The sequence below is a fragment of the Homo sapiens genome, chromosome 10, assembly GCF_000001405.40.
Source record: "Homo sapiens chromosome 10, GRCh38.p14 Primary Assembly".
In the NCBI taxonomy this organism is placed as follows: domain Eukaryota; kingdom Metazoa; phylum Chordata; class Mammalia; order Primates; family Hominidae; genus Homo; species Homo sapiens.
Window position 1 is genome coordinate 58,808,301 of NC_000010.11, and position 27,114 is coordinate 58,835,414.

The following is a 27,114-nucleotide window of genomic DNA, read 5'->3' on the forward strand; positions in this document are numbered from 1 at the left end:
AAACATCTCCTTTTGTTAACAGAGACCATAAAACTGCTGTGCTCATTCTTAGAGTTTCACCTGATGTACGGTATGGCTATTCCTTTCAGCCCATCCTTGCTTTTGACGGAGTGAAGTGTGCCAGATTGTTGACTGTGTTCCTATAGTTTCAAAGATGAAGTATTTGCTTTAGAAATGCTCATTCAGTTCTGCTTTCTAAGACCAACAGTAGGACAAGTTGAAAATGATGTTCATTTCGGTAATGGAGTGGTCAAGTTCAGGGTTCTGATAACCACCTCTGACCAGATGTATAGCTTTGGTGAGGGACTTCACTCATCTGAGCTGTGTCTCATTCAGGTTGTGCTGAGAAGGGCATTGGAGAGGGCATCCAGTGATTAGCATGATGTGTTGTCAGTTCTTAGTGATATTTAAAAAAAATTTTTTTTTTTTTTTGACGTGGAGTCTCACTCAACCCCCCTAAGCTGCAGTGCAGTGGCACGATCTCGGCTCACGGCAACCACCATCTCCTGGGTTCAGGCAATTCTCCCATCTCAGCCTCCCGAGTAGCTGGGATTACAGACACCCACCATCATGCCCAGCTAATTTTTGTATTTGAGTAGAGACAGAGTTTCACCATGTTGACCAGGCTGGTCTTGAGCTCCTGACCTCAGGTGATCTGCCCACCTCGACCTCCCAAAGTGCTAGGATTACAGGTGTGAGCCGCCATGCCTGGCCTAGTGATATTTTAAAAAATTTTACTTTATTAAGAGTCTCACTCTGTCACACAGGCTGGAGTGCAATGGCAGGATCTCGCCTCACTGCAACCTGTGCCTCCCAGGTTCAAGCATTTCTCTTGCCTCAGCCTCCCAAGTAGATGGGATTACAGGCATGCGCCACAACGCTCAGCTAAGTTTTGTATTTTTTTTTTTCTTTTTTAGTAGACACAGGGTTTCACCATGTTGGCCAGGCTGGTCTCAAACTCCTGACCTCAAGTGATCTGCCCGCCTCGGTGTCCCAGTGTTGGGATTACAGGTGTGAGGTTCTTTTAAGTTTTTTACATTTTTTTCATTTTTAAATTTTAATCTATATACTTATTTATTTTGAGACCAGGTTATGAGACTGGCTAGTCTTTGTATTTTTGGTAGAGTCGTGGTTTCACCATGTCGCCAAGGCTGGTCTCAAACTGCTGGGCTCAAGCAATCCACCTGCCTCAGCCTCCCAAAGTGCTGGGATTACAGGAGTGAGCTACCACGCCTGGCCAGTTCTTACTGATATTGAGTGGCTATTATTATTTCCAGTGGAGGACTTACTTTATCCTGAAGAAAACCAAGGGCTTGCTGAAAGATGAGATTATGTTTATGAATGCTCACTGGTGGAAATATTTCTGCACACTCAAGCTAGTTATGCTTTTTTATATTCAAAGGAATATCTTAGGGTATTATGTGAACACATAAGAATTTAAGGTAATAGTAGTAATTATCTTAAATCATATTCATTTAGTTCACCCACAATTTTATTCAATCCCCACAAACTCCTAGTAAGGAAAGAGGGGCCCAGAATGGCTAAGTGTCTTACTCAAGGTTACTTATACTCCTCTTCCTAATGATTTAACCCAAGAGAGTCCATAGCAAAGGGTGGTATGTAACTGATCTAGAGCCATGTTGCCATAGTTTTATGAACATAAGAATCACTCGGAGAGCTTAATAATCCAGACTCTTCTCCTAGGATCTCACTCAAAAGGTAGGGAGTGAGGACCAGGTATCTATTTGTGTTTTCAGCAAGAACCTAGTATAATTGTGATGCATGTGTCCCACAGGAAACTCTGCTGTAAAGGGATGTAACCCTATGGGGATAAGGGCAGGAATAGGCATAGGAGCCCAAAAGGCTCTTCTGCTCCAGCACTTGCCCAAGGACAGGTAGATCACAGATCACTTTCTGTGGGCAGAAATGTGCAGGGCCCCTGACACCATGGTTGAACTTCTTCCTATGGCTTTTCTTGCTTTGGCTATCTTGGGCTAGCCTGCCCCATCATCCTGGCTGGTGTTTAGCAGCACATTCACATTGAAATTTGGGAGGAAGGGTGGGTGAGACCTGCTAGATTCCAGCATGGACATTAACCATGTAATCTGCTTTTCTTCACTGCCTCTTTAAGTGCTACTAATGGAAAGATATGATCTTTTTTTTTTTCTTTTTTGTGAATGGTGTTCTAGATTCTCCCTGGTATATAAGTTAGACTTGAGCTTTTCCTCATGTATCCCAAATTCTTTGAAATGTAAGAAAGGGCCCCTCACATAGCATGGTCTGATTTTCTGCAGCAGTGGCTGTGTATGTCTTTTCCTTTATTCTTCTATAGCTCAGAAGGATCAGAAATAGGGCATCCAGTGAGTATTGCCTCTATAGATTAGGAAGAGGGGAAGGGCCTGGGGAAAAGTAGAGAGGGAGATTTTTATTAAAATAGAGACCACATCTATGCTTATGGCACTAATATTTTTAAGTTGGAGAGTAGCTAAAAACACCTTCCTTTTTCTTACTTTTTCATTTTTCAAAAGAAAAATAAAGCCAAATGAACAAGGAGAATGCCGATCTGTAAAAAGAGCAAGCATGTTTGACCAATAGGTCCTGACAGGTGAGGGCTGCTCACTCGGTGTGCCAGGGACCAAATGTTTCCTGCTGTAGCAACTTTGCTTGAGGCAAGAATCTGATACTTCAAACTCTGTATTCAATATTATTGAGAAGCTCAGCTTGAGCAGTTTTTTCCAGTTTTAGGGCAGCTTTGAGAAATTAATCTACTTCAAAGAGATCCCTTAGATAAGAAGCAGGCACTTTGAAGCTTTTTTTGTTTTCTCCAAGATTCTAAATTATGACCCTGTCCCCATATATTATATTGGGATACCAAAAGTCAAACAAAAGGCTGCTTTGACCTGCAGTAACTGTGTCACATCAATAAAGCTACAAAGAGGTTTGGGATTTTCTTTTCCTTTTTGCCACCCATCTCTTAAAAGCATGAGTAATGGTCACATATTCTCGGAGCAAATAAAAACCTGCACTGAGAATCAAAGGTGGTTTTAAACTTCCCTAGCACTGATAGTAACGAGGTTGTCTGATTATTTTAAATCTTACAAATCTAGGAGTAGAAATATTAAAGATATTTTATCAAAGATATACAAATAATAAAGATACTTTGATTGGAAATCCAGTTTTTGGTCTCAGAAAACTTCATTTCCCTATACCCATTGCCAGAAGTTAGTGAAGGCGTCCCATAGTTGTAGGGAAAGGAGTCCTTGAGATTAATTCAATAATTCCACAAATACTAAGCACCTTATGTGTTCCAGACACAATTTTATACACTGGTAATACAGTGTTTGAATACAAGGTTCTTACTTTCTCAGATGGAGCTTTCTTGTGGGTAGAAGGAAACATAAAACAAACAAGAAGTCATTAGTAACAAGAGTCTCTGTTACATATGAAACAGAACCACTTTAGATTGGGTAGTCATAAAGCAGACCTTATGAGCAAATGACATTCAAGCTAAAACCTAGATGCCAAGAAAAGGCCATGAAGATCTGGGGAAAGAGTAGTAGGCCAAGGGAACAACTGGCACGATCACCCCAGAGTCAGAACCAGCCGGTGAGTTCCTGAAGCCGAGGTGGGTAGGGTGGGGGACCATCAGCATCAGAGAAGAGACTGGAGAGAGGCAGAGGCTGGATTATGGAGCCTGTCAGTTTATGGTAAGGCACAGTGGAAATACATCACAGGACTTTACACAGAGGCATATTTGTTTTAATTTGCATTTTAAGAAATCAGTCTTGTTGCTTCATGGAAAATGGATTGTAGGGAGATAAGCAACAAGAGTAGAATTAAAATGGCCCTTAGGGAGGCAGTTGGGACATTGTGGAGGTGCATAGAAGTGAGCAGACTTGGGGTATTAAGATGACACTGATGAACTTGCTGAGGGATTGGCTGTGTTGAGGGAAGGAGGAACCAAGGATGACCCTTGGACTTTTGGCTGGAGCAGCTGGGTGAGTAGTAGAGTCACTAGCTGGGATATAGGAATTCTGAAAGAATAAGTTTGAGGATAGCTGATGGGGATGGGTAACAACAACTTGGTTTCAAGCACACTGAGTTTAAGATGCCTATCGGACAGGAAAATGGCAGTGTCCGACTGGCACCTCTGTGATTCTAAATTTCTTTTCTTTTCTTTTCTTTTTTTTTTTTTTGAGACAGAGTCTCACTCTGTTGCCCAGGCTGAAGTGCAGTGGCATGATCTTGCTCATTGCAACCTCCGCCTCCTGGGTTCAAGCAATTCTCCTGCCTCAGCCTCCTAAGTAGCTGGGATTACAGGTACGCACCACCACACCCAGCTAATTTTTGTATTTTTAGTAGATATGGGGTTTCACCATGTTGGCCAGGCTGTTCTTAAACTCCTGACCTCAGGTGATTCACCCACCTTGGCCTCCCAAAGTGCTGGAATTACAGGTGTGAGCCACTGCACCCGGCCTATGATTCTTAAATTTCAACAGAGAAATCAAATCTGGAGTTAGAAGTTTAGGAATCACTACTGTCATTACTTTTTGAAAGGACTTGAGATTACTTAAGAAAGTAGACAGAGGGAAGGGAAGAGATCCTAGGACCAGGTACAGGGTAATCTGACATTTTAGAATGTAAAATAGGAAGATCCTCCAAAGGACACAGTGAGGTAGGTGGAAAACTTGGGGCCTGGGGTGTCAGGATGCCCTAAAGAAAGAAATTTTTAAAGGAGGGCATAGTGAGCTGTCTTTATGCCATTGCAAGATTGAATTAAGTAAGTTTATTGAAGTGAACAGTAAAGGATTCTCTTGGAATTACCTAATGAACATAATATTTTGAAAGTCAGAGAATCTTGACTTTAATACTCTAGGTAATAGTAGGGTGTCTATAATATAGTGATTAAATAAATACAAAGATGAATAAATGCAAGTTCAGTGCAAATTTTAAATTATTTTTGTTTTTATTGTGGAGAATTTAAAGAGATAAATTACTCCAGGTATGTAATTTGTTAGAGAGATTGTATCCTTGTTTGTTTAGGGGAGGGTAACACAGGGGAAATGACAGCTCCCCTTCCAACCTCAGGCTCTATTAGCATTTTGAGAAGCCAGCTTTGCCACATCACCATTTCTCTTACTTGTGTAATACAAGGCAGAGAATCTTTGCTCTACCAGGTGGAAGATTTGCTTTTTGGTCTCCAAAATTGGAAGGAGTCTCAGCATCCACTCTTCCAAATTTTATAGAAGGGATTATTTATCCCGGAGGCTCTCAGAACTCTCCCTCAGAATCTACTCCCCATAATGAAAGAAAAAGACTTCACTGTGCAAATTACCAAGTGTCCTTGGTGCTGCAGGGCAAAGGCTGTAGGCAGGTTCCACAGCCTTCCCGAGAGTCAACACTCATGAGTAACTGCGGTGGTTGGCAAGAGAAGTAAACGGCAGTGGTGTAATGTGGATTCTTTTCTCCTCCCACCCTGAAAAACCCACCTGATTAAATATTTCCTTATCTGGCTTTGTCTGTTTACAGGGCTCATCCATGTCCCTTTCACGGTCCAACAGTCGTGAGCACTTGGGAGGTGGAAGCGAATCTGATAACTGGAGAGACCGAAATGGAATTGGACCTGGAAGTCATAGTGAATTTGCAGCTTCTATTGGCAGCCCTAAGCGTAAACAAAACAAATCAAGTGAGCGTTGTGTTTTATGCACACTTTTAGGTATCCCCAGATTAGAATGTGTTTATTTGGGTTGGAGTATCACTGACTGTGGCCTCTCTGACTTCAAGTGCTTGGTGTAATTCACATGCCATCTCCTCTGTGAAGCCTCCTTGTTTCTCCCAGTGAAGCAGGCCACCTGGTTCTCTTTCCTCTCACTCCATTTTGTGCGTGCTTTCACTCTAGCACTTGCCATACCAAAGGGCAATTATTTATCTACCTATCTGTATCTCCTTGTGAAATTTGTGCTCCACAAACCAAAGACTGTATTTGTTCATTTTATAAACATTTATGAAGTGTCCATGTGTCAAGTATTCTGTTATGCTCTGCCTTATTGGATATTTCTTCCCAAACGCCTAGTGAACTGTCTGACACCTAGTAGGTAGGTGCTCAGTAAAAGTTTGTGAAATGAATGCATGAATGGGTAATGTACACACATGCATCCAGGTGGTGACAAAAAGACAAGGACATAAGAAAGTGGTTGAGGCCAGGCATGGCAGCTCTCACCTGTAATCCCAGCACTTTGGGAGGTGAAGGTGAGTTGATAGCTTGAGCCCAGGGGTTTGAGACCAGTCTGGGCAACATAGTGAGATTTCATCTCTACTAAAAAAAAAAAAAAAAAAAACAAGAGGCTGGGTGTGGTGGTATGCATGCGCCAATAGTCTTAGCCTACGTGGGAGACTGAGGTGGGAGGATCGCTTGAGCCCAGGAGTTTGAGGCTGCAGTGAGCTGTAATTGAACCACTGCACTACAGCCTGGGTGACAGAGCGAGACCCTGTCTCAAAAAAAAAAAGTGGTTGAGAAAAATGTGATTGAATTAGCATCTTAGACCATTGAAGAAAGACTGTCCAGCGGGTGGCTACTAAAGGTGAATAGCAGGGTTTGATTTTGTAAATAGACAAGATGTTGCTGAATTCGCATAAACAGGAAAAAATTAACTTATTACAGCATGGGGGTTCTGGCTTTTAGCAAATCTGGCTGAGACTCAGCATAAGCCCATTGTTTTATCTACAACAGCACCCATACTCCTGGGCTGTATAAACAGATGAGAGCTGACATTGTCATCACAAGATATGCCCCAATGCCTTTTTTCAGGGTTTTTGACAAATTTGGAATCCTGAAACATGTAGAATATTTGAAGACTCCTTGAAGCTAGGCAATCTAGATGAGCATGGTAGACACTCAGTAACAGTCAGTTGTTACGTTACTATCACTCATGTCAGCTGTATTATCAGGAGTCTCAGATTTGAAAGGAGTAATCAGGTTGTTGGCCAAGTCTAAATAAGAAAGCACGGACAACTATTTCATTCCTAAGTACACTGTCAATAGTAGCCTGGAGACTTCCCATTAGTTACTGGCTGGACGCTCCACCACTGACAGTATGATCAAGATGAGAGTCAGGCTGATGCCAGGCACAGATGGAGGGGTGTAAATGATGTCCAGTCTCTAGCCCAAGATACATTCATTTGGTGCTTCTCTTTTTCTATCTTTATCTCCTTTCCCTTCATTTAACATTGGATAATTAAATTGACTGTACTACTCAGTTGAATAGAAGTTCAGGATTAAGATGGAGGATACATTAATAAAAAGGAATGATTAATGAAGCACAGTTATTTGGGTTTTGTCACTTTTTTTAGGGTATAGGGAGTTTAAGAGAGACTATAGAAACTACAAGTAGTTAAGACCAAAAAAAAAAAATTTAAGTAAAAGTACGTTATAGGCTACTTTGAACATTTATCACTATGAACATTTTATTTTCAAACATTTGTTTTTAAAATTGTTAATAATTTAACATATGTAAGATTCCTTTTAAATATGTAATCAATATAAAAATTATTGGAGATAGCTTACATTCTTTCTTAGGTTGTACAAAGGCTTTAAAATCTGCAGTGTATTGTGTACTGACAGAGCATTTTCATTCCCACTAGGCTCATTTCAGGTGCTCAATAGCCATGTGTGGCCAATGGCTACTGTATTGAACAGCACAGTTTTAGATAATTTCTCTTAACACCCTTGTCAAGGTCACCAATGTTTCCATTTTCCTGGGCATCCCTATTTATACCAGTTGCTGCAGCATAATTCTCAGTAACTCTTTTACTCTCGAAAAAAAAAGTAAATCTATCATTTGGACCATAAATTATATGGGCAGCCTTTCAGCCACTTTGATGTAGTCACATCCCACATCTGGTGGTCACTCACCCCAATTTGCTTATCGCAGTCCACTTTGTGGCTTTGTGTCACCTTTGACCCGGTACCTCAATAGTCACTCCTCCTCAAACTGTTTTTATGACTTTGGGGCCTCTGCTTCACCTTTAAATGGTGGAGTGTCCCAGGACTCAGTATCTTGGGGTTTGGTTTTGGGTCCTTTCTCTACACATTCACCCCAAGAGATAAACAGCAGCTATCCTTAAGAGAAAAACCTTTTCAGGAAATGCCTTCTGTTTGAGAATCATAGAGGACATCTCAATTGGGAGATGAAAACAACTGGAGAAAGTGATCAATGACACCCAAAACAGTGCAGAACAAGATTCCTAGATTTGGCAGACACATGGATCCCCAGAGTAGACTAGATGGATCTGATTGGCTTTGGTCAGTGTTGTCCTCCCTCACCTCTTTGGGGATCTCTCCTGAAGCCACATCCTTGGTGTAAGAAGACAGATTTCCCACACAGGCAAGAGCTCATTATTGGTCTGGGAGGTGGAATGCCTGCACTCTGCTGAAATCTCCAAGGCTGTGTGTGTGTGTGTGTGTGTGTGTGTGTGTGTGTGTGTGTGTGTGTGTGACTTACTTGGCTTGGTTCAATAGTCCGTCACCAGCGCTTGCTTGTCACTGGGTCTGAGAGCCACAGACAGTTTGTTGAAACCTTTGCCCACCAAATCAGTTGCAGAACCAAGGAAAAGTTCAGCATTGCTGTCTTAAAAGTTTTCCCCAGAGACAGATTTATTTTTGTCCTAAATTAAATCCAGGAACCCCAGCATCATTCTTATCACTTTATACATTACTATTAATCTTGGAAGTGTGCTGTTTTGTGACCTTGCTACCCAGTTATATTTTTTAGGGAGCAGGATTTATGTGTTGCAATACCATACAATTCCTTTGACCAAAGGAAAGCACAGGTGTAGATACAGAGAGCCACCCTGCCATCCAACGGAGCCTGGACTTGTAATAACTTTCCATACCTTTATTTTGTCCCAGGGATCCTTTTTACAGCTCCTCATTTAATTCACATCCAATCAATTTTAAACAACAAATGCTTCTGACTACTCAGGGAGAATATGATGAATGATTATTAACTACAGAGGCACTGTTGCTGAATTTCTGCCTCCCAAGTGTAACCTTTTAAATGTCAAGAGCCTCCCTGAAAGCAATAACCAGCATTTCCTTAATGGAAAGCCAATATTTCAGTAAAGGATTGCTGTATTTCTACAGCTACTGCCCTATTCAGCTGAACAATGGAAGTTGAAATATTTAGGTGATTAAAACTTTTAATTAAACCATGTTCTCTCTGGGCATTTACACTTCAAGCCTGTCTCTCCTTTGCCTTTCAGCGGAACACTATCTCAGCAGTAGCAATTACATGGACTGCATTTCCTCGCTGACAGGAAGCAATGGCTGTAACTTAAATAGCTCTTTCAAAGGTTCTGACCTCCCTGAGCTCTTCAGCAAACTGGGCCTGGGCAAATACACAGATGTTTTCCAGCAACAAGAGGTCAGTCATTATTTATTTTCCCAAGTATCTTTGTTTTGATTGTGTGTATGATGACTTCTAGAATGAAATCACTTATTGACCTATGAGTATGCTTTCACTGAGCATTTATTCAAGTCTCATAGCTTGTCCTTGCTACTAAGAAAAATGTCATCTCATTTCTTATTTAGTGCAGCTAGTAAACACGGGATAGCAGAAATAGAGAAAATCATACTTGCAGAAAAATGTACAATAGCTGTCTAACAGTTTTAGCAATAAAACCCAATCGATATATAGATTCCTAGGAATTTTTGTAGTCACAGCTCCCTTAAGGTCAGCAACAAGTCTGTATTTAACATGATTTCATTTTGAATCTGTTGTTATCTTTATTTGTGGCACTTAAAAGTAAATAACAGCATCTGAAATATCTCTGGCTGTTTTTGACTCATCCTGGTCATGCTGAAGTCTGTTCTTACAGAATATATGTTTTTTTCAACATGTTAATTTATTCATTAACTTATTGTTTGGGTTTTACCTGAACTGAGACAGAACTGAGATGTCTACTGAACAATCATGACCATGGATTTTGGTCAAACTGATTAGCCATATCCTATTATGTACTGGCATAAAGAAAAGAGGCCCCAGGCATGATTCTTCCTAACAGTGCTCTCATATTACTGGGGCACAGCTAACTCAAAGTGTCAGAAAATTAAAATGTTTCTATACATTTGTGTCTTTTTCAAATCAAGACATGGTCCATGTTTGATGCTAGTTGGCTTAATTTTATGTTAGAGAACATCTGATTTAGTCAGTAATTTCTAGGCACGTGTCAGTTAATAAAGAATCTATAGTTTTTACTAGGCACTTTGTATCATAAATTCAATGTACTGCCCATGGTCCAATAAATTATTAAGTTTAAATGCTGAGCATTTTTGTTTTTTACACTGAAAGGGCAATTGTTGTGTGTATTAAATTTCAGGGTATTGATTTTTTTTTTCTGTTTCCCCTACATCTGAGTTAGTGTTCATTTAACCAAGAATTTTCTAAGCTGAATAAACCTTTCATAATCAGTGCATTAAAGAATATATCTCCTTATTTTGTCTTGCTGGTTAGATGATGGTAGCTGGAAGCAGAAGTATTTTAATGTGTCCAGGCACAGAAGGTCAAAAAGCAAGAGATTGAATGTTAATTCAATGATATTCTGGGTTTGTTTTCATCTATGTTTCCTATTTGAAGAAGCATAGAAATTGTAGGTATTTCTTATTCCAATTACTCCAAGAAGGAAAAAAACATGAAAGTATAAAGCCAGAGGGACTTAATGTAATATTTTATTAACTACAGCAGGGGTCAGCAAACTGTGGTCTGTAGGCCAACTGCCTGATTTTGTAAAGTTTTATTGGAACACAGCCACATTCATTTGTTTACATATTGTCTATGGCTTCCTTCCAGCTATAACAGCGTAGTTAAGTAACTGCAACACTGACATTGTGGCCCACAAAGCCTAAAATATTTACCATCTGGTCCTTTAAGAGAAAGCTGGGGAACACTTGAGCTGAAGAATCTCTATTATAGAATTTCTGAAAACATATCTTTAGAACTGTGATAAATGATGGCCTAAGGTTTTCTAAGACCTGGATGTACCTTCCAAATCAAAACAGGACAATTTAAATTATCTTCAATATCATTTAATGAAAAGTTTTACCTGTTTATGGCATGTTGAAATTTGGTCATCTGCTTTTTTCAGTGTAGGATATTTTCTAATACTCAGATGTGATTTAACAAGAATCCCCCATAAGTAACTTCATGAGATTTAATTTATTGTAAGCATGTTGAAGATTCATTTAGCAACTTTCACAGGTGATATATCAACATGCATTATTACTAACCATACCTGCCAATTGTCTTATTTGGTAAGCCCAGTACTTTATATCTATAGTTATAGTGAATGCTTACAACAGTTCTGCAAGATACAGTATTGTCAACCCTCTGTGCCCACAGCTAGTAATGGCAGAGTCAGGATCGAACCCAAGTCTCTTTGGCTTCAGAATCTGTTGTCTTTCTCTTCTTACACACTATCTTTAAAGGAAGGTGGGGGATCCTTGGGCAGTTTCCCTTCATGCTTTGTTCCTGATGCCAGACAGTGCAGTTTTATAGTTCCTGCAAATACTTCTTTTGTGTCCCTTTCAGTGATAGTTTGCTGAGTTGAGCCAAGTGAACTGTAGATCTGATTGTGTCTGGGAATTCTTCTTTCAATCCTTTCAATCCTGTGTTGAACACAAAGGAAGATGCCATCTGTTTTATTATTTAGTTTCTTCTTATAAAGATAAAGATACACTTAACCAATTTAAAATCCCAACCTAAGAAATATTTTTCTCTTCTCTGAACAGATAATGCTCTTCCTTTTATCAGTTCACAAAAATGGTACAATCTTTGTGTTTCCTTTCTTGCTATAGTTGCCGGGTTGCTCAGAGCTAAGTCTTCTGCTAGAATCATCATTTCCATTTCACCACCTTTCTTAATTCTTGTTTCTTAGGTTTGTGCTACCACCTTTCTTTTCTGGAAGTAGGCAGAGCATAATTAATAAATAAGTGTGACAACAAGTTGATCCTACAGTGGGAAAGAAAATAAGTAATTAATACATTGGTTATAGATTGACCTTTCTACCCACAGATCGATCTTCAGACATTCCTCACTCTCACAGATCAGGATCTGAAGGAGCTGGGAATAACTACTTTTGGTGCCAGGAGGAAAATGCTGCTTGCAATTTCAGGTGAATATAAATATTCAACTCATATGTTAAAATCTGAATAACCTCTGCCAGTGGTCTCAGCCATTGGGTTGTTTCTACCCATTAACTGCTGGCTTACTAACCTAACACCTTGGTTGTGGTTTCAGAGGGTTTTCCTGTCAACAGTGTGACAGATCCTGAGACTGTCTTACTTTTTCATCAAGGCATTGCCTGAAAACCTGCCTTAACAAGGGTCATATATGAAAATAGATCTCTTCAGAAAGATCTAACCAAAATCGCCCTATGCAGAACATGAGAAGTTGGGGAGAAAGTTTAATTCTCCTCTTTGCAGTTGTGTTAAACAGTAATCATTACATTAGTGAATAATTATTCTTGATTGGCAGTTATGTTTCAAATGTTTGTGTCCTTGCACACCGACTGAGTTCATTGCACTGAGAAGAAAAGAATGCTGGTTGAATCTGGCAGTGTTACTTGTCTTAATTCTTCTTAGTCTTCCCACTGTCTTAATAGAATTTATGAGTCACAGGACATAGTATCCTGAAGATAGTCACAGAATGAAGGAAAATAATGTCTGTCTCCCTAGGCCACTTTCTTTGTGCATCTGTTGCATATATATTTTAGAAAATGCTCTATACGTATTTATTGGGTGCCACTCATTTGAAAGGAATTGAGCCAGATGATGAGTCAGGAGTTGGCAAATACATAGTAATGAACCTCAAAAAAGCGTTTAGAAAAATATGCGGAAATTTTAAGGAGGGAATGGGATTAGTTTTTGAAGACTTGCCAATAAAGTTCTTGAATGTCAAGTTTATATGTGTCCCAGTCTCAGAAAGACAGACACACCAGGGGCAGAAGCCAAGTGTCATGTGCTGCGGAAAAATGAATGCTTTTTCAGAACACTGAATTTGCAGGCTATGCCTCAGTGAAGCCAGCAGTTACATCCAACTGGTGAAAGTCCATTCCAGACAACATTCACTAATCAGATCAGCAGATAAAATTTAAAACCTCAGTGGTTTTCCATTTTATTTTAGCGGCATGTTGAATGCCCCACCCATCTTCCCATAGGAAATCTTTATCTGAAGCAGATACAGGCAAAGCAGCTTTGAAATAGGAGTGGAAATCCAGCCATTGAGCTTCCTGGTGGCAGCCTGTTAGGTTCTTCTGTGGATAGAGTTCTACACTCATCAGTTTTCCCAGAACTTCTTCTAAAATTTCTTCTCGGATATACTGTGTGTACCCAAGAGGCTCTATTAATGGAACTCCACAGGGAAAATGCATAATTCCTGCTCATAAGATCATCTTGGTATAGTGGAAAGAACACTGGATTCAATTAGGAGATCTGGGCTTTACTTATGCTAAGTCATGAGTCCTTGAGTGAGTTTCCAAACCTCTCTTGGCTTTGGTTTGTTAATCATGAAGGTAGATTGGAATTTGTGATTGTACAAAGGTCACCTTCCATTTCTAAGATCTGTCCTTTCATGTGATATCATCAGGCTTAGTGAAAATGGACAAAACGATAGTTTTATTACTTGTTCTTTTTTACCATCTATGATAATAGAGTAATTTTTAAAATTTGTTTTCTGTAAAGCTCATCCTCAGGGGGCTATCCCTAGACTCAAGCTAACTTTAAAAGTTTTCATATTATTTTATTAATTTGCAAATGAAATTTATTTGCAGTTTGAAACGTGATTAACTTATGCATTCACCATACCTGTACTGTTGAAATATGCCTGCAGGCCAGCAATTTTCTATCAGTGAAGTGTGTAGTCCAGAGCTCCATAATCTTTCACTAGAGATTCATGGAATAGCAGTGAGGATATAGTGAAAACTAAGTTCATTTTTTGGTGTCCCAACCCAATTCTGAATTCTGTAAAGATTTTAGCAACAAGCAGATAGCTGTAAATACATTCACAGGTTGTAGATAGATCATCAATACCTTTCCTCTGGAATATATCAGTATCTTTTGGGGGAGGTAAGATGGGAATCAGAAAGGTTTCAAGCTCTCTATTTTAAAAAAATAATATTTTTTCTAATCATCTTCTTTGTCATTCTGTTGAGGTTATATAGTACTTTTGCAGACTTCCTCTCTCAGTGGGGTTCACCAGGTCCTCTTGCTTTTAAAGGGAGTTTGAGACTGACTAAAATACTTTATGGCTGCTCTGCACAGCATAAAGGACTTGATTATTTTAAGAATAATTTTGTCTTACTTTGTTGAGTGCATTTGTTTGAACCTGGTAAATTATTTTCTCTGAAAGCAATACATTTTTATTGAGAAAATTCTTCATCAAAAAGCTTCTTTCTCCAGTTCAACTTATCTCATAACAAAGACATCCATTTATAGTCCCAGAACATTCTGTCTCCCTATGGATGCAGTATAGCTGGGCAGTCTGAACTCACATTTGTCTTATGGTTATAGATTGGTTAGGTCCAGAGTTTGCTTAAAATTCCTTTTTAAATTTTGTAGATTTTAAACTTATAATCTGAGTGATTCTTTCAGTATAAGGTTTTGTTTTATTTTTAATCTCAGGCCAAAATACATTTAATGTTATAGCAGTAGATGAAATTTATCTCCAATGGAGATGGATCAAAGTATAAATTTGATCTCTTTTTCCCCAAATCCACTTTTTTTTTTTTTGGAAAATTCACAGATTTTTCTCAGAATATTTTCATGATTGGTCAAATGTACAGGGACTCAGTGAAAGGACGCTTAGCATCCTGTTGACAGGCTTCCCACCACGGCCTCAGGTAGATCTAACATTTCCCGACCTATTCTTTTAGTTTGTGACTCTGTTCAGATCCGCAACAAGATCCTGAGAGCTGCCAGGATTGTGTGAACCTTGGAATTTCAAAGAAAAAGGTTGGTATTTTCCCAAACCATCCCGTAGGCTTACTGAAAAATATTAGAGGAGTTTGCCTTATCATTTAAACAACAACAACAGCAATTCTAAAGTCTCTTCAGTAGGACTTGACCTTGATAACCTCTCTGGAAGATTTATCTCTGTGCATCACATTTAAAAACATATGTATGTACTCTCTTAGAAACTGTATCGATTAGGGTTGGATTCCCTTGTGATCATTTTACTGTTTCAAAGATCTAGCTGATGTGTCTTTTCAGAATAAAGTTTTTAATATTTATTTTGAAAAACTTTGTCTTCATGGCCCAGTTGTTGTCATGTGCTCAGTTATACATGTTATATATGCTAAAGGAGAATGTTGTTTGGCCTCATTCCTTTTTTTTCTTTGCTGTAAAGTGGGAATGTCTTCCTGAATTGTATGTTATTCCCCCGTGAGAAAATGGAGGCCGAAGATAGTCCCTAGCTTGAAGATGATAAAACTTTTCCAGGCTGTGTACTTAAGGGGATTCATTTATTCTTAACGCTTCTATAAGTTTGCCTTTAAATATATTCAATTCTGTCTTGATTTCTGAATTTTGAAGTGCTGTGTTTGTTTTTAACAAGATACATGTATTCAGCTTTTAATAACTGTGTTTCTGGAGGAACTTGAAACAACAGCCATCTGTATGCATGCCTGCATGTGTCTTTTGCTTGTAAAGATACCTTCCTTGCTTCTTCAGAGTGAAGCTGGGTTTTTCTATTTAAAAATTAAATTTGGCATGTTAAAATAGCAAATAAAGCTCTGTTATCTGGCATACTTGGAACTATCGATTTCTCAGATTTGTATTCCTGATGCCTTGGTTGGTCTTCTCTGTCCAGTGGGTCACTGAAGGCCAGTGCTCAGGGCATTGACCTTTCCATCAAGCATGTGAGGTTTCACCTCTGTCACTTAGTACCTGTGTGGGCAAGTGACTTAGTCTATTTTTTCAATCAGTTTTTTCACCTATAAAATGGAGAATGGTAATATTATCTATCCCTTAAAGAAGACTTGAATAGGGCAAAATAAATGTAAAGTGCTTGTCATACAATAAGGCTAATGAATCATTGTTATTTTTCTTCTCTCCTAAGACCTATATATGAACAAAAGAGAGATGTCTCCAGTGTTGCTTTGACCATATAGGGGCAGGCGTTTACATTTTGGAAGGCAGTGGGGTAAAATGTGAAGGGTATTGGTCATCCTCCAGAACTTGGCCATAGGAGTGTGTCTGGTCATATGGTCATCCTTAACACCATGCAGTCTGTTACAACCTGAATCTGTGTCGTCAGCATTACTGTAGATGGCCATATCTTACATTGTAACTTCACAATTCAAAAGGGGATTGATTGTGTGTGTGTGGTTTAAAAAGTACTGAGTACCATGCAAATATAAGGTGAATCACTGCTCTAGCCCCTCAAAGAGACAACTTTAAGCAAATCAGTTACATAATCCCTCTAATCTATTTTAAACTGAATAAATTTGAGGGTATTTGCATTTGTTTGGTATCAAAACCCTAATTTCCATAGTCTGATGATTCTGTGTACTTGCATGAGTTTGTCAGAATGAGTTACATCAGTGATTTTGAGGTGGGGGCGGAGGTTGATGCATACTCATAAAACAACGTAATCTGTTTCAATTAACTTTTTACCTTTCCAGTTAATAATTTTAGTTGGCAAAAGACAAACCAAAACAGTGTTTTCAGAGTACTCTAATTTCTTTACCATTCAAATAGGGCACCTCAGGTTTTCCCTGAAATTTTAGATTCAAGTATTTGTTGTTTGTGAGTATTAATTTTCTAAGCTGATATGATTTTTTTACTAGATTAATTTTTTATTCAAAGAAACCTACTCATATGCCTCTTTCTAAAACTATTTCTGACTCAAGAAGTATAGGGTTCATGAGTTGGCAGAGCCATGGGGGCTGTGGCTTAATACAGTTGACCCTTGAACAACATGGATTTGAACTGCACAGGTTCACTTATACACAGAGGTTTTTCAATAAATATATTGAAAATATTTTTGGAGATTTGTGACAACTTGAAGAAACTTCCAAACTGCATAGCCTGGGAATATTGAAAAAATTTAAGAAAAAGCTAGATATGTCAAGAACGCATATGTATGAAATATATACAGATACTAGTGTATTTTATCATTTACTACCATACAATATACACATCTATTATAACATGTTAAAATTTATCAAAACCTCACAGACCATATATGGCACCACTGGCAGCAGAGAGAAATGTAAACAGACAAAGACATTTTAAATCATAACTGCATAAAATTAACTGTGTTATATACAGTACTGCTGTAATAATTTCATAGCCACCTTCTGTTGCTATTGCAGTGAGCTCGATGTTACAAGTATCCGCTTAAAGCACTATATGACACTAATTTCCACCTGAGCAATTAATCTCTCCAGTAAGTTGCATATAACAGTTACAAGTGATCTCTCACAGTTCTTGAGTATTTTTCATTGTGTTTAGTACAATACCATAGACCTTGAATAACACCGTAGGACCCACATAAAGTGCCGCTAATGCTCTCAAAAGCAAAGTTATGACATCATGGGAAAAAGTTGAATTGCTTGATATGTACCACAGATTGAGGTGTGTAGCTGCATTTGCCCACCACGTCAAGATAAGTGAATCCAGCATAACAACTATTGTTTAAAAAAAAAAAAGGAAAAGGAAATTTGAGAAGCCATTGCTGCAGCTAGACCTGCAGATGCAAAAGCCTTGCACTTTTTGCAAAATACCTTTTTTATCTTGCATTGAAAATGCAGCTTTTAGAGTGGGTGCAGGATTGTTATAAAAAAGCATACTTATTGACTCCATGATTCAAGAAAAAGCAAAGTCATTATATGACAACTTAAAGCAAAATGAAGGTGAAGGATCTAAAGTTGGAGAAATTAATGACAACAAAAGATGGTATGTTAATTGTAGAAAGAGGTTTGGCTTAACAAATTTGAAGATAACAGGATAAGGAGCTTTTGTCAACCACTAGATACCACATGAGTTCCCAGACACGGTTAAGAAAATCATTGAGGAGAAAGACTATACACCTGAACAGGTTTTTAATGCAGATGTAAGTGTCCTATTCTGGAAAAAAAATGCCACAAAGGATTTTTATTAGTAAGAAAGAAAGGAGGCCGGGTGCGGTGGCTCATGCCTGTAATCCCAGCACTTTGGGAGGCCAAGGCGGGTGGATCACAAGATCAGGAGATCGAGACCATCCTGGCTAACACGGTGAAACCTTCTCTCTACTAAAAATACAAAACAAAAAAAAATTAGCCAGGTGTGGTGGTGGGCACCTGTAGTCCCAGCTACTCGGGAGGCTGAGGCAGGAGAATGACATGAACCCGGGAAGCGGAGCTTGCAGTGAGTGGAGATCGCACTACTGCACTCCAGCCTGGGCTATAGAGCGAGACTGTCCCAAAAAGAAAAAAGAAGAAAGAGAAACAAACACCCGAATTTCAGACAGGAAGGGATAGGCTGACTGCTGTTTTGTGCGAATGCAGTCACGTTTATGATCAGGACTGCCCTTATCTATAAAGCTGCCCACCCTTGAGCCTTGGAGGGAAAAGATTAACACCAGCCGCCAGTCTTTTGGTTGTAGCACAAGAAGGCATGGATAACAAGAATGTTTTCTCTAGACTGTTTCCATTGATACTTTTTCCCTGAAGTCAGGAAGTAACTTGCCAGTAAAAGACTGACTTTTAAAGTTCTTTTGATGTTGGATAATGCCCCTGGCCACTGAAAACCCCATGTGTTTAACATCAGAGTCGTCAAACTAGTTAACTTGTCTCCAAACACAAAGTCTCTAATTCAGCTTCTAGATCAGGTGGTCATAAGGACCTTAAAGGATTGTTACACATGGTACTTTATGGAAAGGATTGTCAAGGTTGTAGAAGAGAACCCAGATAGAGAAAACATTATGAAAAGCTGGAAGGTTTACACCATTGGAGATGTCATTGTTGATACAGAAAAAGCTGTGAAGCCATCAGGCCTGAAACAATGAATTCCTGCTGGAAAAAAACTGTGTCCAGATGTTGTGCACGACTTCACAGAATTTACCATAGAGCCAGTCAAGAAAATCATGAAAGAAATTGTGGATATGGCAAAAAAAATAATAAATAAAGGTAAAGGGTGAGTGAGGGATTTCAATATCAGATCTTGGAGAAATTCAGGAGCTAATAGATACCACACCAGAGGAATTAATAGAGATGACTTGATGGCGATGCATGTTTCTGAACCAGTGCCAGACGATGAGGAAGACATAGAAGAAGCAGTGCCAGAAAGCAACTGATGTTAGACAGTCTGGCAGAAGAGTTCCGATTATTCAAGACTACTTCTGATTTTTTTAATGACATGGATTCTTCTATGATAAAACAGTGGAAGAATGACTAGTACCATATAGAAACATTTTTAAAGAAATGAAAAAAGCAAAAATGGCAGACAGAAATTATGATGTATTTTTGTAAAGTTACACCAAATGTGCCTGCCTCTCCTTCCACCACCACTACCTATTGAGCCTCTACTATGCCTGAAACAGCAAGAGCAACCCCTTCTCCTCCTCCTTCTCAACCTACTCAACGTGAAGACAACAGGGATGAAGACTTTCTGATGATTCACTTGCACTTAATGAATAAGTAAATATATTTTCTCTTCCTAATGATTATCTTAGTATTTTCTCTGGCTGAGTTTATTGTAAACATGTAGTATAAAATACATATAACATACAGAACATGTGTTAATCAACTTACTGGTAAGGCTGCTGGGCAACAGTAGGCCGTTAGTAAAGTTTTGGGGGAGTCAAAAGTTATACATGGATTTTTGACTACATGGGAGCAGGAGGGGTTTGGTACCTCAACCTCTGCATTATTCAAGGGTCAGCTGTTCTTCAGGGTGCTCCTCCAATATCCCTGTGCTTAGGTATGGGGTCTTCTTTTTCATATCTGACTTTAATAAAACTAAATGATTGCCATGTTTGACATGAATGAGTTCAGTAGCTGTAATAATTTTCTGTGCCATCAGTCATACGTCCTTTCACGAGCTTAGCTTGTTCTCCTTGCCTCTGAAATGACCTTTGGAGTAGGTCAAACTATTTAATTTGGTTAGAGCGTTCTGAGAATGGTATATCCTCCAATACAGTTTACAAACTATAATAGAAACTGTTTGCTGTCAGGAGTTTATGAGTTGCAACAAAAACTATTTGCTGTCCTTTGTTCTCTAGACTATCAATATGCTATCTTTAATACCATACTTTCTAGTATTTCAGAAATGCCTTGACCATCAACTAAAAGTTTTCCTTTTGATACCAGACTTGACTTTCCTCAAAAAACCTACCACGTCACCATTTTCTGAGCTCTAGTGCCATGTCCTGTAGTATACATAGAACTTCTCTTGAGCTCCTAACAATTCTCTCTTTCTCTCTCTAGAACTAAATAAAAACCGAAGAAAGCTTTTTGAATCGCCAAATGCACGCACCTCTTTCCTGGAAGGTGGAGCGAGTGGAAGGCTACCCCGTCAGTATCACTCAGACATTGCTAGTGTCAGTGGCCGCTGGTAGCAGCACCCTCTTGGCACATGCCCGCTGACTAACTGTAAAGTGGACACAGGAGATGTATGAACAGCCTTCACAGCACACCATCCTTAGCACTCTGGGTGTCTGGTATCAGGACCAAAGCATTTTATTCGCACCTGTACTTTATGGCAAAAAGGAAGAAGAGAGAGAAGATGTTCTTATGATGTCATACAGAACACCAAATATGGATTACTTTTTTAAAATGGCAGTTGGACAGAATTTGCAATATAAGGATAGGGCTTTATTTCCTGTTTTTATTTACCTATATAACATATGCACTGATGATTTTTTTTTTTTTTTTTTTTTTTTTTTTTTTACTTAAAATGAAGGATGAATTGACATCTGGGATGCCAGAAGACTTAGAAGTTATTTTGTTTGCTTGTTTTGTTTGGGTATTTGGGGATTTTTAAAAAATAATCAAAGTGGAATTTTCTGGTACTGCTTTAAAATAATTATTGTGGTCTTTCAGCACTTTACACGTTCTAATTTCTTGTCCTATGGAAGTTCTCGCTGTCTCCATCTCTCTCATTTTTGTGTCACCTAATATGTTGGTACAGATAAGAGTTAGTCACATTTTTCTGACTGCATCAAACTTTTATTTGAAATGGTACTGGATCTTAGTTTCTGTGCAGAATATTCTGTGATTTTGGGAAATGTAAGTGAGTCCACTTGCTTCTGGACCAATTCTGTTTCATGTATGTTAGCATCCTAGAAACACCTAGCAATGGACCTAGTTCACAGTAATAGGTGCAAAGAAAGACCAAATGGACTTTGCAGTATTAACCCTTTGCAGTCGTCATACTTAGCTGCTGCCTGTAATGCTAAAATGATTTTAATGGTTGTCTGGAGGCAAAGGGCTGTTTTTTAGTATATTGCCACTAAAGGACATTTATTTATATCAAACTTTTATTTTTAGATATTATAAGCATACAGTACATAATTGATGAAATTGATATTTACTAGAGATTTATGGTAGAGAATGGACGACATTCAATAACTGGAGCCCGAGATTGTCACTTTATTTAAAAAGACAAATAATCATCTGACAAGACAGCACTGTTGCCATTATAAGGAGAAATAGATTACAATCCTTATCATGTACACGTTAGCTATGTTCCGTATGGCCACAGGACTTTCCTGAAACCGTATCTGTCTGCTTGAAGTAGACTTATGTTTGTTGAGAATGAACAGGCTTATTTGAGCCTCCAGGGTGGCAGTTCATAAAGACAGCTAAGTTCTGAAGGAAAAAAAAAATATATCTTTTTAAGTGGCTAGAGTCATTATTACAATCTTATACTGTGAAAGTCCAAGAAATCAGGCAACATTGTTTCCTGGGTCTTTTCAGAGATCTTATAGATTTATGAAGTGTTTTTAATCCATGAAGAAACACTAAAGTGCCTTTCTTTCTTCAAAGCAATATTATTTCCAAGTATATTAATTTGTTAGAAAACTTTCCCATAGGAAATGTTGTCAAGTTACCTGTACTGTAAAGAGTTATTTATGTTCAGTAGTCAAGATTTTCTACATGGACATAAACCACTCTCACGTGCTCTCAGCAGAAGGCATTAGATAAGCATATACAAGAATTGGGTACTTTTATACAAATATGGGATAAGAAATACTTGCCTGACACTTTTCCATGGCTGAGTCTGACCATTACAGTAAGAACAAGAATTGAAGAGGCATTTTGCACACAGAAACATTCTCACTTTAAAAAATGGTATTGGTTACCTTGAAGGCATAGATAATGGGCCTGTCATAAAATTATCAATTATAACTGGCACCGAGGGACTGCCCTTTTTAAGCTAAACTAAGCCTTATCTGCTTAAGGATGTTGAACTGAATCACTCCCTTTACTCATCCTGTGCATATGTGTACAAATGGTCATGTGGATCATGTGATGATCATCCATCTTATTTGATTGTATTAATGCATCATGCTAAACATGTAGTACAGGTTAACAATACCAGATTTATGTCCTGTTCAACAACTCAGTACTCTAAATGTTGTTATGCTTTTAATAAGACCTTCCCAGATAATAATCTTGGAGCTCTTTTCCCAGCTGTCTACCATGCATTTGCAACAGGAGGAAGATGTAATGAATATGCAGTATTAAGTTGATTTATGAACAGTGCTTTGATATGCCAAAGGGAAAACTGTCCCACTTAAATTAGATTAAGTAGGGTGGCTAAAAATAAATAAAAACACTGGAAATTCTTTCTCTCACTTTCTCTTGATGCAATGAAGGGAATATGACACTACAGTATACAGAGTTGTTGTTATATGATGCACAAAATATTTTGATGATTTGAATAAATGTTAACTTTTAATCTGCGCCTTAATAATGACTGGTTATCTGTAAATATAGAACAGATACAGATTGTATTTTTCTGTGGGTTTTTGTCCTTTTAGTGATTTTTTTCCAAAAACGAGAGATGGAATTAACATTGAAAATGGGAAATTTTTCTAACTGAATCAATTGTTACATGAAAAATAAATTTATATAACCCCTTTGTATTGCTCTTGCTATATGAAGCGTGTCTTTTTTTAAAAGAAAATCTTTATGCATAAACTCTATGCCTGTCTTTGTTTTCTAAGAAATTTTTTTTTTTTTTTTTTTTTTGCCATTTTTGGCAAAGTTGAAAGATGTTTCTTCAGTAGAATTGAATATGCATTCTGTGTTCTCTTGTTTTGCATTGACATTCCTCATTTTCAACCAGAAACTAAAGCACTTTATTTTAGGCAGTGAATGCAGGACCAGTCATCAATCATTGTTTCTTTGGCCACCCATAGGTACATACAAAAGAGTACCATTATAGAACAGGTTTTATTCTTGTTATTTCTTTCTTTTATAAAGACTCAAGTGTATGACCGCTTTGACAACCTCATTTATCAGCAAAGAATGACGTGATACTGGGCTTTTTGATCCAGGTTCCCCTTTCAGAGACTGCCATTGTGTTATCTATCACACTGTGTGTTTACCATGCCATGCACTGAGATGCTCACTGGACTCATGCTAAATGGAATGGACGCTCTTACTTATTCTGAGATTTTGCTAAATCTTAAAGAAAACCTAGCCCTCCACATACTATGCCCCCAGGAATATTTCCACTTGAATTATCTATGCCAGTGGTTCTTAAACATTGTTTCTAAAACAAAAATTCTTTTGATAATTGGAATCTTACCTGTGACCCAATATTAAATTATTCATTTATTATTTATTTGGTTCATTATATACATATTAATGACACATAAATAGTGTCAGGCTCTGGTCTAGGAACAGTAGTGAATAAAACAAAACCCCTTGCCCTCCTTGAACTTGAATTCTAAACAGAGAAAGGTGGCGCTAAAGAGGGAGAGGTTGGAGGATGGAATATCCCCACCCTTCATGTGGGCCTCCATATGTTTACCACACTCCAAGGGAACTCGAGAGAGCTCTCTAGAAACCTGTTTTTAACAAAACTGTTAAAAGTGGCTGGGCATAGTGGCTCATGCCTGTAATTCAGCACTCTGGTAGGCTGAGGCAGGCAGAGCACATGAGGTCAGGGGTTCAAGACCAGCCTGGCAAACATGGTGAAATCCCACCTCTACTAAAAATATAAAAATTAGCCTGACGTGGTGGTGCACACCTGTAGTCCCAGCTACTCGGGAGGCTGAGGTAGGATAATTGCTTGAACCCAGAAGGCAGAGGTTGCAGTGAACCGAGATCACAATAATTGCACTCTAGCCTGGGCAAAGAGTGAGATTCCATCTGAAAAAAAAAAAAAAAAAAATCCTGTAAAAAGTACCCACCATGTTGAAACAAGCCTGTGCTTTCAAATGCAAAATATTCCTTCCTTTCATTCCCCCTCCCTCCCTATCTGTAGGTTCCACAGGTTTAATCACATTCTGAAAAGGAGTGTGTGGCCCAAAGTGCTATGTTCCACTGCTTTATAGCTATACCCTAGGATGATAATGGCTGAGGACTCATCACTTCTTAGACTTGACTCCAGGTGACTTCGCAGTTTTTAGAAATCAAGTTTGCCTTAACGTGATTTTTGTTACCAAGAATACTCCAAAGAATGTATTAATACTTGGAAGTTAATTTCAAACGTAGACCTCCCACAAGACAATAGTGCAATAAATAGAGTCTCCTTAGATGACTGTTTCCAAGGGAACTTCACTCCCTTGGCTATATAAATCCTGGTATATACTGTTAAATTAGCTCAGAATTTATCCTGGCTTAGATACTTAGTAATTTTGTGAATTCAAATGAACTGAAGTGCATTTAACCTAATTTTGATAATCTGATGTTTAGTGAATGTATTAAATATTCCGGTCATCACCAGAGGCCATGATTCTCCTACAGTCCCACTCCAGGTAAGTCAGCTTCCTTTCTTCTCCTCAAACAGCCTTTTGGATAACTTACAGGTCATCTGGCTGAGAAGTAAAGAGGTTGGACTTTTTGTCATTTTACAAACATGCATTTAGATCTTGTCCGTAGACCTCGGGAAAATTTCTCTGTGTCTAGGAGTCCTCATCTGTGAAATGGAAATAATACTTACCTCTGAGAATAGTTGAAAGGATAAAGAGAAGCTGTGTGTAAATTTTTCTGCACAGTACAGGGCACAGAGTGAACAGTGAATTAATAGCAGCTACTATTATGAATAACAGGATTTTCCTTTCACTGCATGGGCGTATCTTTGCCCATCAGGGATCTTCACTGTGTTCATCATTCTTCTGTATCAGAAGGAGGAAGCCCATTTCCTGTGCCTGAATGTCAGAACTGTAAACTCCAGTCTCAGGGACCTACCTCCTGGTTAATAAGGTTGAAGTCAGAACACGGTCCTGAAAGTCAGGGTCAGATTTCCATACCTTATTTGGTTGCTTTTTATTTTATTCTTTTAAGTCTCTGATTCACCAGAGTATTGAAAACTGGGCTCTCCATATGGGTGGAGAAGGTTAGTAGCCAATTCTAATAGTCATATATTTTGTGCCTAATGGCACTATTCCCCGAGAGTTCTCATTACTCTAAATGGTATTCACTCCCTGTCACCCACAAGGTCACCTCCATCCTAGCCCTGGTTGCTCAGTTTCTCCCACTTTTATTTCTCTCTGCCCACCACTACCACAGGATCCAATACAAACTCCCTTTGTGTGTGTATAATGAGCTTAGCTTTTCTTTTGAAAGGAGCCATTTGCCTGTATTTGTGCTGTTTAGTTGTTGTTTTCCACTTTAAAAAGTGAACAGAGTTAGATAATATTTGACCGTTCCTACAGACATGGCCAAGACACTTCAAAAACACTTCATCAAGGGATTTCACATTTTTGTTGCTTTTTAAAATACTTTGACTCACTCTGAAAGGAGGCAAGTGGAGCTTGAAGTTCTCTTTCTCAAGGGTTAGGCCATGAATGTGTTTGGAACAGATTTTGGGAATTGGAGTCTGAATCTGATTTAGGAGGCAGAATTTCAGTGTGGGAACCAGAACCTTTAGGAAAAAATTACAGTAACCGAAATGTTTCAACTTCGTAATAGAATGTTTGGATGAGTTACAGGAGGGAAAAAAGAGTAGCTCAATAACTGGGTGTGTGTGGCCTTTTTTTTCCAGGCCAGAGAAAACAAACGACTCTGAACTCACTGTCTTCAGTGCTGCTTAATCCCTCATAGAGAGGCTGTGGGAATTAGACATTAAAAGACATCAGCAAAACATCCAGAAAACAATTTATGTTCAAACAAAATTTTCACCCAGGCAGAATTGACTCTTTGTCCAAATTGCTGATACAATTTGATTCAAAGTCGCTATGGATAAAATTTTCCAGTTTTCTAAGATTGGGGATGTGGGTGGGTGACATTTCCTTATTTTTTCCCCTCTTTAACAGAATCATAGACTGATACTAATAACAGCCAGGCTTGGAGTGGTGGCTCATGCCTCTAATCTTGGCACTTTAGGAGGCTAAGGCAGGAGGATCGCTTGAGCCCAGGAGTTCAAGGCCAGCCTGGGCAATGTAGGGAGACCTCATCGCTATTAAAAAAAAAAAAGAAAAAGAAAAATTAGGCAGGTTTGTGGCGCATGCCTATAGGCCCAGCTACTGTGGAGGCTGAGTTGGGAGGATCACTTATGCCCAGAAGGCCAAGGCTGCAGTGAGCTGTGTTTATGCCACTGCACTCCTGCTTGGGTGACAGAGCAAGACCCTATCTCAGAAAACAGCCAAATGAAGTTGCTGTAGGTAAATTTTTCCTGTGGATTGAAAAATATCCACAAAGAAAAGTTATGCTACCTTCTGTTTCATGAATCTGAGTTAAATTCCTAAACGAGGAGGGGAAATTCCATCTTGTTCCTTTCTTTATACATTTAAAAGCTTTTAAAAAACACATAAAACTACCTTAAATATTGTCATGGTGAAAATGGGAAGATGGGAAGGCTTTAAGGCAAGTTACAGCTTTGCCTGTCATATAATAAATTTTATACCAGGCACTCCTAGTATAATGAGGATGTCTTTAAAGAACTGACTTGCATAAAAAATAGCA

At 38.6% G+C, this 27,114-nt stretch overlaps 1 protein-coding gene across 13 annotated transcripts in view; it reads left to right on the plus strand.

Moving 5' to 3' along the window:
• BICC1 (BicC family RNA binding protein 1) overlaps nucleotides 1-23,135 on the plus strand; it is a 319,216-nt gene extending 296,081 nt beyond the window's left edge. For 11 of the 13 annotated variants that reach the window (XM_047425780.1, XM_047425781.1, XM_047425778.1 and 8 more), the window contains 4 exons: nucleotides 5,530-5,686; nucleotides 9,262-9,422; nucleotides 12,069-12,168; nucleotides 20,461-23,135. In XM_047425780.1, coding sequence (XP_047281736.1) covers nucleotides 5,530-5,686; nucleotides 9,262-9,422; nucleotides 12,069-12,168; nucleotides 20,461-20,591 — 549 coding nt within the window. In that variant the 3' untranslated portion in view covers nucleotides 20,592-23,135. Of the gene's footprint in view, nucleotides 1-5,529; nucleotides 6,015-9,261; nucleotides 9,423-12,068; nucleotides 12,169-14,925; nucleotides 15,010-20,460 lie in introns of those variants that run through there. The other 2 variants (XM_047425777.1, XM_024448174.1) reach the window with 2 other exon arrangements.